Source organism: Homo sapiens, chromosome 22 (assembly GCF_000001405.40).
Source record: "Homo sapiens chromosome 22, GRCh38.p14 Primary Assembly".
Lineage (NCBI taxonomy): Eukaryota > Metazoa > Chordata > Mammalia > Primates > Hominidae > Homo > Homo sapiens.
In genome coordinates, this window is record NC_000022.11 from 24,996,521 (window position 1) to 25,009,069 (window position 12,549).

Sequence of the window (12,549 nt, forward strand, 5' to 3'; positions counted from 1 at the left end):
TCCCTAGAAGGAGAGCTTGAGATAGGAATTCTGTGAAAGTGATTGATTTGAGTTGTGACTCATGCATCCCCGAGAGAGGGAGACAGGATAATAGGGCAGGGGAGGGGACATTTGGCCTCAGTCTGATCCCCTGGGGCACTCTGAAGCCACAGAGTAAGTCCTGCCTTGGGGCAAGGGTAAGTAGCCCCTCGTGTCCCTTGGAAGCCAGTCATTGGCTGTGGGAGTGAGGGATTTACCAGGAGGGGTGGAGACTGTAGGGCAGCATGTTGGAGGACAGCCCTCCTGGAAAAGGGTGTAACTGTAAACTGAGCAGACAACTGTCATAGCAGCTGGGGGATGGGTGCCGCAGCAGGAAAGGGGATTTGGGGGAGGGGCAGATCCAACAGCATCTCCCATAGGTTGCAGTGCTAGATTCATCCTTAATTGGCTGTGTGACCTTAGGCAAGCCTCTCGGGGCCGAATTTTACCTTCTGTATGCCAGGGGCCTGCATAGAGTCACTGTGGGCTCCATCCCATTCTTACCCTCCATGCAGTGACTTATTTTCTCATGTAAACATTGATTTGCTTCAGCAAATGTTTATTGTGTACCCATCACATGCCAGGCAAGGATCTCTACGACAAAAAGGATCTCTGCCTTCAGGAAGCAAGGCAGACGAGTAACCAGGCATAAAACAGTGGGGTTGGTGTCACAAAGAAACAGAGAGTTCTGGGAACCAAAGCCTACCTGGGCTGGCTGCAGGGGTCTGGAAGGCTTCCTGGAAGAAGTGGTATCTAATTAGGGACCCATGCGCATTAGCTCTCACGAGTACTGATGTCACTCAGGAAAAAGAGAAGGCGACTGGCAGCTTTCTGCGGGTCTCTTTCCCATCCCAGGATGGAATTCTTCCAGATTTTGACTTCTCCCATGTCTTGCTTGAGAGGGGAAATTGCCGGTATGAAAAACAATCATGACAAAGCTGACATGTCGATGTCCGGGATAAGTGAGTTAGGAGCTGGGAGGGAAAGGGTGCTGGTATAGGGGTTGTTGGTGTTGAGAACGCATGGCTTGTGGGAGGCTGGTGGGGCTGGTGCCCTGGGTGAGGGGCAGGAGATGAGGTCTTAGTGGTAGACAAGAACAAATAATGCAAGGCTGTGGTGGTGAGGGGTGTGGACTTCATTTTGTGAGCACCTGGAGGCCACTCGAAGTTTGGGGTTTGCCTCCTTAAGCATAACATACATACAGGAAAGTACACACATCTTAGGTGTCAACTAGACACACGTTTACGTATGTATACAAGATGTAATCACGCATATCAAGATATAGAACATTCTCAGGTCCCAGAGAGCATCTTTATACCCCTTCCTAGTCACAGTCCCCAAAAGTAATTGCTGTTCTACCTTCCGTTACCCTAGAGCTCACTTCATATAAATTTTGCCTGAATTTCATACACATGCCGTTTTACAGAACAGTTTAGAATGCTGCTTGTTTTGCAAACCTTAATGCCTGTCGTATTTATCCATGTTTTCTTCTTGTTGCAGTACAAATATTCTTGACTTATAATGGGGATACGTCCTGATAAACCCATCATAAGTCAAAAGTATTGTCAAAGTTGCATTTAGGCCAGGTGTGGCAATATACACTTGTAATCTCAGCGCTTTGTGGGGCTGAGGCTGAAGGATCGCTTGAGCCCAGGAGTTTGAGACTAGCCTGAGCAACATGGTGAAACCCCATCTCTACAAAAAAATAAAACACAACAACAAAAAATTAGACGGGCATGGCAGCGGAGGCCTGTAGATCCGGCTACTTGGGAGGCTGAGGTGGGAGGATCACTTGAGCCAGGAGAACAGGGGTACAGTGAGCCATGACAGCACCACTGCACTCCAGCCTGGGTGACAAATTAAGACCCTGTCTCAAAAAAATAAAAGAAATTGCATTTGGGCCGGGCACGGTGGCTCACACCTGTAATCCCAGCACTTCGGGAGGCTGAGGCGGGCGGATCACGAGGTCAGGAGATCGAGACCATCCTGGCTAGCACAGTGAAACCCGTCTCTACTAAAAATACAAAAAAATTAGCTGGGCGTAGTGGCGGGGCCTGTAGTCCCAGCTACTAGGGAGGCTGAGGCAGGAGAATGGCATGAACCCAGGAGGCGGAGCTTGCAGTGAGCCAAGATCGCGCCACTGGACTCCAGCCTGGGCGACAGAGCGAGACTCTGTCTCAAAAAAAAAAAAAAAAAAGAAATTGCATTTAATACTCTCATAAATGATCACCTATTGTAAAGTTTAAAAACTGTAAGTGGAACCATCACAAATGAAACCATCCTATGTTGGGGACTATCTGCAGGTTTTTTTTTTTTATTGTTGTATTATATGCCATTATGTGAATATGCCACAATTTATGTATCAAATGTAGTGCTGATGGACATTTGAGTGGTTTCCAGGTTTTGACTATTATGGAGGAAACTGTTATGAGCATTCATATATAAATTTTTCATGGACCCAAGCATTCATTTCCACTGAGTAGATACCTAGGAGTGGAATTGCCGGCTCACAGGTTAGGTGTCGAGATTCAGCTTTTATAGGTCCTGCCAGTCTTCCAAAATGTTCGTGCCAATTTAAAAGCAGCTTTAGTTCCACATCCTTATCACCACTTGGTAATGCCAGTCTCTGTAATTTTAGCCATTGTGGTAGATGCGTAGTAGTACAGTATTTTATAATCAATATAGTGTATAGTATACAGAGAGAGAGAGAGAGCACAATAGGGTCTTGCTCTGTCACCTAGGCTGGAGTGCACTGGCGCAATCATGGTTCACTGCAGCCTCAACCTCCTGGGCTCAATTCACCCACCTCAGCCTCCTGGGTAGCTGGGACTACAGGTATGCACCACTATGCCTGGCTAACTTTTCAATTTTTTGCAAAGACAGGGTCTCATCATATGGTTCAGACTGGTCTCAAACTTCTCGGCTCAAGTGATCCTCTCTCAGCCTCCTAAAGTGCTGGGATTATAGGCGTGAGCCATTATGCCTGGCCTGGAGTAGTATGGTATCTCATTTATGTGCTTTGGTTTTGTTTGTTTGTTTTCTGAGACGGAGTCTCACTCTGTTGCCTAGGCTGGAGTGCAGTGGTGCGATCTCAGTTCACCGTAACCTCCACTTCCCAGGTTCAAGCTATTCTCCGGCTTCAGCCTCCCAAGTAGCTGGGACTACAGGCATGCACCACTATGCCTGGCTAACTGTTCAGTTTTTTGCAAAGACAGGGTCTCATCATATTGTTCAGACTGGTCTCAAACTTCTGGGCTCAAGCGATCCTCTCTCAGCCTCCCAAAGTGCTGGGATTATAGGCGTGAGCCATTAAGCCTGGCCTTGAGTAGTATGGTATTTCATTTATGTGCTTTGTTTGTTTGTTTTTTGAGACGGATTCTCTGTTGCCTAGGCTGGAGTGCAGTGGTGTGATCTCAGTTCAGTGTAACCTCTGCCTCCCAGGTTCAAGCTATTCTCCTGCCTTAGCCTCCCAAGTAGCTGGGTCTATAGGTGCCTGCCACCACGCCCAGCTAATTTTTTGTATTTTAGTAGAGATGGGGTTTCACCGTGTTAGCCAGGATGATGTCGATCTCCTGACCTCGTGATCCACCTGCCTCGGCCTCCCAAAATGCTGGGATTACAGGTGTGAGCCACTGCTCCTCGCCTGTTTTTTTTTTTTTTTTTTTTTTTTTTTGAGACGGAGTCTCGCTCTGTCGCCCAGGCTGGAGTGCAGTGGCGGGATCTCGGCTCACTGCAAGCTCCGCCTCCCGGGTTCACGCCATTCTCCTGCCTCAGCCTCCCAAGTAGCTGGGACTACAGGCGCGCGCCACTACGCCCGGCTAATTTTTTGTATTTTTAGTAGAGACGGGGTTTCACCGTTTTAGCCGGGATGGTCTCGATCTCCTGACCTCGTGATCCGCCCGCCTCGGCCTCCCAAAGTGCTGGGATTACAGGCGTGAGCCACCGCGCCCGGCCTTTTTTTTTTTTTTTTTTAAATGTAGCTTTCGATGTTGTTGTTGTTGTTTTGAGACACGTCTGGCCCAGGCTGGAGTTCAGTGGCGCAGTCTTGGCTCACTGCAACCTCTGCCTCCTGGGTTCAAACTATTCTCATGCCTCAGCCTCCCAAGTAGCTGAGATTACAGGTGCATGCCACCATGCCTGGATAATTTTTGTATATTTAGTAGAGTTGGGGTTTCATCATGTTGGCCGGGCTGGTCTTGAACTCCTGGCCTCAAGTGAATCCGCCTGCCTCGGCCTCCGGAAGTGCAAGGATTACAGGAATGAGCCACTGCACCTGGCTTTTTTTTTTTTGAACAGAGACAGGTTCTTGCCATGTTTTCCAGGCTGGTCATGAACTGGCCTCAAGCAATTCTCCTGCCTCGGCATACCAAAGTGCTGGGATTATAGGCATGAGCCAGACCCTCATTGTATTTTTGTGTTTTCCCGATGACCAGTGAAGTTGAACTTTTTTTTCATGTGCTTATTGGTCACGTGGAGATTTTTTTCTGTGTATGTGTGTAAAGTAACCATTCGAGTCTTTTGTGCTTAAAAAAAAAAGAAATACAAAACTGAGTTGTCTTTTTTCTTATTGATTTATAGTTCTTTATATATTCTGAATAGAGTGCTTTGTAAAATGTGTGTATGTGTATGTATGTGTATATATACGTGTGTATATATGTGTGTATGTGTATGTATGTGTATATATGTATGTGTGTGTATATGTGTGTGTGTGTGTATGTGTGTGTATATATATGCATGTGTATGTGTGTGCATGTGTATATACATATTTTTAATTCCAGTCTATGATTTGCTTATATCATTCTTAATGGTGTCTTCTAATGAACAGAAATTTTCTTTAAGATCAATCTATTCCATGTTTTCCTCTAGAAACTTTGTGAAAAATTTTCACTGAAAGCTTTTTATGTAGGGGATGAAATGTTTACAGTGGCATTTTGGAAAGTTGATGCCTGCCCCAATGTGGACCAGGCCAAGGGGGAGGCTGATAGAGTCCTCCAGGCAGGAGAAGGTGGTGGTCTGGACTGGGGTGGGGGAGATTGGCCCCAGGGGTAGATGCAGGGAAGTGGGGGATGTGGAGATAGATTCAGAGGCAGATTGAATAGGATTAGAGTGGGACATGATCTCTCAGAATCCTTTAGGGCACTTTCTATTTTAAAAAATGCTAACTCACGAGTCCCTGGACCAGACCATCTTGCCAGGCTTGTCCAGCCTTTCTCCCACACTGGGCAGGCCTGAGTGCCTGTTGGTTTTCAGATGATACCTGCTGTGTGGTCCTGTTGGCCCATAACACAGGATTCCTGTAGCTGGGAGAACCTGCATTTATAGCATCCTTGGGCTAAAGCAATTTCTACATTATGTAAATAAGTATATATTTTTATGTTATATAAATATATGATATAAAATATATAATCATGTATGAGTCCACACATTTATATACATATACAGACATACATATATATACATACACATATTGCATCAGGAATCAGGAACTCCAAGTTCTAGTGGTAATTCTGACTGGCAAGTGTCCCACCTCTGGTTAGGAAAAACACTTCTCGAAACCCTTTCCCATTGTCCTGCCCTAAAAAACGAGCAGGCTTGCCTTATTTTTGGACTTAGCATTTGTCATGGAGGTGCTGTGGTTTAATGATCCAGGAAAAAAACCACTTTGGAGTTTTTGCTCCTGGTAACCATTGGTAACCAGTGGGTAGGGGAAGCTGAGCATGTTCAGCTGTTTCAGGTTAGGCTCCCCCAGAAGCAGGCCCAGAGACAAGGATGGGAACATGAATGGCTTTTTGGGGAGCTGACTCTGGCAGCACTGTTTGATCAGAGTGGAAAGTGAGACAGGGAAGGCAGGAAGCTATATACAATGTTAACAAAACCACACACCTCAGGCTTCCTCCCCAGAGGAAGGAGGGAGCTGGGGTGTTGATACATCAACTTCCTTTAGTCTTTGGTGGAGGGCTGCTCTGGGGCATTAATGGGCTGCATTTCTGACCTGAGTTGCTCCCACAGCCAAAAACCAAGCCTTTAGCCAGAAAAACTGCAGATGTCCTCAGGCCACCTTCTGCATCTAGAGGTGAAAACTGCAGATGTTCTTAGACCACTTTCTGCATCTAGAGGTGAATGCTGAGGGCACAGGGCTGGGCACCAGTGGTGGCTGCTGAACCCTCCCTGAGAAACACTTGGATGCTGTGACATTTGTATATTTGGAAATTCAGTCCATTGAACTTTGTGTTTTAACTTCGTGGCTTTTTTTTTTTTAAAGACAGGATCTCACTCTGTTACCCAGGCTGGAGTGCAGTGATGCAATCTCAGCTAGGTGCAACTGCCTCTTCCTGGGATCAAACAATTCTCCAGCCTCAGCCTCCCAAGTAGTTGGGACTACAGGCACAAGCCCCCAGTGCCCAGCTAATTTTTGTAGAGATGGGATTTTGCCATGTTGCCCAGGCTGGTCTCGAACTCCTGAGCTCAAAGTGATCCATCCGCCTCGGCCTCCCAAAGTGCTGGGATTACAGGCATGAGCCAATGCCCCTGGCCTCTTTGGCATTTGTTTTAAACTTTTTTTTCCCTCTTATTACAAACACATTCATTTATCAGAAGGCAACACAGTAAAGGAATCAAGAGAGTGGGCTTCATGGTCTTAGTGTCTCTGAGCCTCAATTTCCTCATCTGTAAAATGGGAGTAAAATACTACCTGCCTCCGAGGTTGCTGGGAAAAACCATTTTTTGTTTGTGAAGCATTTCATATAGAAACTGGCTATACATCCAAACACAAATACTTATCTTGTTATTATTACATAAAACTTACAACTACACAAAAAAGATTAAAATTAGCCATAGCCTTATCTCCTTTCACTTGGAGAGATTTTTTTTTTTTTTTTTTTTTTTTTTTTTGAGACGGAGTCTTGCTCTGTCGCCCAGGCTGGAGTGCAGTGGAACAATCTCAGTTCACTGCAAGCTCCACCTCCGGGGTTCACGCCATTCTCCTGCCTTGGCCTCCTGAGCAGCTGGGACTACAGGCACCTGCCACTACGCCTGGCTAATTTTTTTGTATTTTTAGTAGAGACGGGGTTTCACTGTGTTAGCCAGGATGGTCTTGATCTCCTAACCTCATGATCCACCCACCTCGGCCTCCCAAAGTGCTGGGATTACAGGCGTGAACCACTGCGCCCGGCCCACTTGGAGATAATTTTTGTAAACATTTTCACATGTGTTTCTCTAATACTTTCTCTCAGTATCCATACATTCAAATTTATATACCCATCCATGTGCATCTATATCAAATAGAAAATAGGATTTTTTTTTTTTTTTGAGCCCTGTCACCTGGGCTGGAGTATAGTGGTGAGATCTTGGCTCACTGCAGCCTCTGCCTCCTGGGTTCAAGCAGTTTTCCTGCCTCAGCCTCCTGAGTAGCTGGGATTACAGGCGCGCGCCACCACACGCAGCTAATTTTTTGTATCTTTAGTAGAGATGGGGTTTCACCATGTTGGCCAGGCTGGTCTCGGACTTCTGACCTTGTGATCCGCCTGCCTCAGCCTCCCAAAGTGCTGGGAATACAGGCGTGAGCCACTGTGCCCGGCCATTTTTTTTTTTTTTTTGAGACAGGGTTTTACTCTGTTGTTCAAGGTGTTGTGCAGTGGTTTTATCGTAGCTCACTGCAGCCTTGAACTCCTGGGCTCCAGTGAGCCTCCGACCTGAGCCTCCTGAGTAGCTGGGTCTACAGGTACACACCACCACGCCTGGCTAATTTTTGTATTTTTTGTAGAGATGGGATCTCATTATGTTGCCCAAGCTGATCCTGAACTCCTGGCCTCAAGTGAGGCCTTGGCCTCCTGAAGCGCTGGGATTACAGGAGTGAGCCACCATACCCAACTGAAATGGGATCTTCATGTCCATATTGTACCTAAATGTTTTAAAATTTAACTTTTATTGATTTGGCTAATACATTGACAAGATTCAAAGTGAAAAGTTACCAAAGTATAGACAGTGAAAAGTCTCTCTCCCATCCTTGTCCCTCCATCTGCCCATTTCCCTGCCCTCCAGGAAACAAATTTAAAACTCACTTTTAATTGTATTTTATTTTTCCCCTGAAACTCTTTGTAACTGCTTTTAGCTAAAAGTGTAGAAGAGGCTGGGCGCGGTGACTCACGCCTGTAATCCCAGCACTTTGGGAGGCCGAGGCGGGCAGATCATGAGGTCAGGAGTTCGAGACCATCCTGGCTAACATGGTGAAATCCCATCTCTACTAAAAATACAAAAAATTAGCCGGGCGTGGTGGCGGGCACCTGTAGTCCCAGCTACTCGGGAGGCTGAGGCAGGAGAATGGCGTAAACCCAGGAGGCGGAGCTTGCAGTGAGCTGAGATGGCACCTCTGCACTCCAGCCTGGGCAACAGAGTGAGATTCTGTCTCAAAAAGAAAAAAAAAAGTGTAGAAGATTTGATTGTACTCATTAAAACTCACTAACTGTCAATCAGTGAATCCTGAATGAATTCCTTGTAGGTGGCAAAGGTTATATTAGAAATGGAAAGGTTGGCTGGGTGCAGTGGCTCACGCCTGTAATCCCAGCACTTTGGGAGGCTGACGTGAGCGGGTTACAAAGTCAAGCGATCGAGACCATCCTGGCCAACATGGTGAAACCCTGTCTCTACTAAAACTACAAAAATTAGCTGGGCGTGGTGGCGCGCACGTGTAGTCCCAGCTACTCAGGAGGCTGAGGCAGCAGAATCGCTTGAACCCGGGAGGCGGAGGTTGCAGTGAGCCAAGATGGTGCCACTGCACTCCAGCCTGGGTGACAGAGCGAGACTCCATCTAAAAAAAAAAAAAAAAAAGAAAAAAAGAAATTGAAAGGTTACTCCAAGGTGTTTTGGTATCATTCCGCCCTGGAGATAGAGATTTTCCTAGTGCTTGTATGCTAGTTAATACGGATGATGGATTTGGGGGTTGAGGGGCAGTGGTGGATCATGCAAACTTGTTGCACTCGGCAGTCTAAACCACAAGTGCTCTGTGCCTGTAATAATAACTCACTTCATTCGTTGGATCCTCCGCTAAGCAGAACCCTTCATTAACCCAAGACCTCTACTTTACCTGCCTCGTGGTAGTGTCCCCTGCATTTAAGGCAGAGGGACAAAGACGCCAAAATAAACTCTTGTCAGTGATGCCAAAGGTCATACATAGTTCCTTCCCGTGGGGGAGTAATTTGTGGTTAAATTAAATAAGGTTGGGCCTGGGGTCAGACCATCAGCCCTGTGTCTTCTCTGTTGAGAAGGCAGAGAATGAAGCTAGAAGATCTAAGTTTTGTGTGCTAGCTCTGCCTTTTCCTACCCAGGTGACTTCCTCTCTCTGAGCCTCAGTTTCACATCTGTATAATGGGATTCTACAGTGCTGTCCAGGAGAACTTTGCATGCTCTCCAACAGCATACCTAGCATCGTGTGCCTGTGGAGTGCTTGAAATGACACCTGTGCAGCTAGAGCATTGAATAGCCAATTTTATTTATTTATTTATTTTTCCTTTTTGAGATGCAGTCTCACTCTGTTGCCCAGGCTGGAGTGCAATGGCGTGATCTTGGCTCATTGCAACCTCCATCTCCTAGGTTCAAGAGATTCTCCTGCCTCAGCCTCCCGAGTAGCTGGGACTACATGCGCCCGCCACCATGCCTGGCTAGTTTTTTGTATTTTTAGTAGAGACGGGGTTTCACCATGTTGGCCAGGCTGGTCTCGAACTCCTGACCTCAGGTGATCCACCCACCTCGGCTCCCAAGGTGTTGGGATTACAGATGTGAGCCACTGTACCTGGCCTTAATGACATTTTAAATGAGCTGATATTTAAATTTTAGTAAATACATGGGAAGTACAGTACCAGGACCTACCTCCCAGGATTTGATGCTGTGAAATGCTTAACAATTGGGAATGGGGGAATTAAGGTGTCTGGTCGCCTGGGGGGCGACCGAGACAAAGAACTTCATAGAGATGTGGGCTTTGGGGTTTTTCAGGCAGCCATTCAGCTCAATGCTGCCTCTTTCAGGAAGCCCTCCCCTTCTCTCCCCAGGCAAGTTAAGCTCTGTATGCGTTTCCTATTGTGCTGTAACAGATTCTCACAATTCAGTGATTTAAGCAAATTTCTTACTTCACAGTTCTGATGGTCAGCAAGAGTGTGTCCCTTCTGAGGCTCTTGGGGAGAATCCATTTCCTTGCCTTTTCTGTTTTCTAGAGGCTGCTTCATTCCTTGGGTTTCGGCCCCACATCACTCTGTTTCTGTCCTCACGTTCTCTCTCTTTGACTCTGACTTTCCTGCCTTTCTCTTATAAGGACCCTTGTGATGACATTGGGCTCAGAGAATCCAGGATAATCTTCCTGTCTCAAGAGCCTTAACTTAATCACATCTGCAAAGTCCCTTTTGCTATGTAAGGCAATATATCTGCAGGTTTTCGGGATTAGGACCTGGACATTTTTGGGAAGCATTATTCTGTCTACTGAAAGCTCTTCTTCTTGTGGGTTTCAGTTATGCCTCTGAGCCTCACACTGCTGTGGTCACCATCTGTGGCCATGCCTGCCTCCAGCACCAGACCATGCCTCAAGGACAAGGATGTTCTGCCCCCAAAACTTGCCAGAACACCTGCTGTAAGCTGGGTGGGACCTGTGCTACCCTGGAGTTACAAGGTCTGCTAGTGTTAGCCAGGTGCGGTGGCTCACGTCTGTAATCCCAGCACTTTGGGAGGCCGAGGCGGGCGGATCACGAGGTCAAGAGATCGAGACCATCCTGGCCAACATGGTGAAACCCCCTCTCTACTAAAAATATAAAAATTAGATGGGCATGGTGGTGTGTGCCTGTAGTCTCAGCTACTGGGGAAGCTGAGGCAGGAGCATCACTTGAACCTGGGAGGTGGAGGTTGCAGTGAGCCGAGATCACGCCATGGCACTCCAGCCTGGTGACAGAGTGAGACTCGGTCTCAAAAAGCAAGGGAAAAAAAAAAAAAAGTCTGCTAGTGTTGAGGTAGGAGGCGGGACTTGACTCTGGAGGTGGGGCTCAGACTCTGGACCACACTGAAGACTAGCTGAAACAGGGAAGAGGTGACAGACCCTCTCCATAAGACATGTCCACCAGTGCCATGTCAGTTTATCGTTGCCATGGCAACATACAAATGTTATGTTCCCTTTCCATGGCAACCACCTGATGACCTGGAAGTTACCACCCCTTTTCTAGAAATTTCTGCATAATCTTCCCCTTGACTTGCATGTAATTAAAAGTGGGTATAAATATGACTGCAGGATTGCCTCTGAGCTGCTACTCTGGGTGCCCTGCCTATGGGGTAGCCCTGCTCTGCAAGGAGCTGTACCTCTGCTGCTGCTGTACACTGCCACTTCAAGAAAAGTTGCTGTCGGCCAGGCACGGTGGCTCACGTCTGTAATCCCAGCACTTGGGGAGGCTGAGGCGGGTGGATCATCTGAGGTCAAGAGCTCTCGAGACCAGCCTGGCCAACATGATGAAACCCTGTCTCTATTAAAAATACAAAAATTAGCCGGGCGTGGTGGCAGGTGCCTGTAATCCCAGCTACTCAGGAGACTGAGGCAGGAGAATCTCTTGAACCTGGGAGGTGGAGGTTGCAGTGAACTGGGATCGCGCCACTGCACTCCAGCCTGAGAGACAGAGTGAGACTCCGTCGCAAAAAAAAAAAAAAAAAAAAAAGGAAAAAGAAAAGTTGCTGTCTAACACCATTGGCTCACCAATTCTTCCTGGGCAAAGCCAAGAACCCTCCCAGGCCAGGCCAAGCCCCAGTTTTGGTGCTTGTCTGCCCTGCCTCAGCTCACTATGTGGTTGACCTCTGTAAATCACTTTGCCTTTCCAAACCTCAATTCACCACCCTGTAAAATGGGGTTAATAATAATATCAACCCCAGGAGGGTCGTTGAGGGTATTAACAGACATGCATGTAGAGCCTTTGGCATGTCACCCAGCACTTGGGTAGCACTTAATAACACAGCCACTATTGATGCTTCGAGGATATATAAAGTGGGATTTAGATTGAGGCCACCTGATTTCAAATCCTGGCTCCACCACATGGGCCAGTTGCCAAACCTCCCTTGTTGTCCTCATCCATGAAATGGGCCTCATCATGAAACCCAACCTCAGAGGGTGGGTTGAATGGGGAGATTCATTTAACGTGCTGTCTGGCACAAAATCATTGTTAATGATTTGAGGATGATAATGACTAATAACCAGACTTTCCCAGGGCCCAGCACTTACAGATCTAAGGACAGTGGAGCCCAATAAACTTGCAATGGTTCACTGAATTCCCTTTTTGTGGTTAGGCCAAGTGTGTCTCTTCAGCTACACAGAGGCCCAGAAATAGGTCTGTTGTCATGCCCTGAGGCTGGCAGTGCCAGGCCCTGATGCATTCATGGAGCCTTCGACTTAGGTGTGGGAGGAGGAGGAGCCAGTGGTTGCCTGAAGGGCATGGGAGGCACAGAGATACTCCTGGGAAAACCAGGAGAGGACCTGTCAGCTGTCATTTTGTCACTTTGGGTTTATTGGTATAG

General features: G+C 47.1%; 1 protein-coding gene across 5 annotated transcripts in view, besides 1 other annotated feature; it reads left to right on the plus strand.

The window, feature by feature from the left end:
• Positions 1-12,549, plus strand: part of KIAA1671 — a 244,733-nt gene that overhangs the window by 43,805 nt on the left and 188,379 nt on the right. The window lies entirely within an intron of this gene.
• Positions 5,924-6,423: an enhancer, noted in NCBI's record as "H3K27ac hESC enhancer chr22:25398411-25398910 (GRCh37/hg19 assembly coordinates)". NCBI's record gives its function as "activates a minimal SCP1, AML or CMV promoter by ChIP-STARR-seq in naive H9 embryonic stem cells {active_cell/tissue: H9 hESC(naive)}" and the evidence as "EXISTENCE:reporter gene assay evidence [ECO:0000049][PMID:30033119]".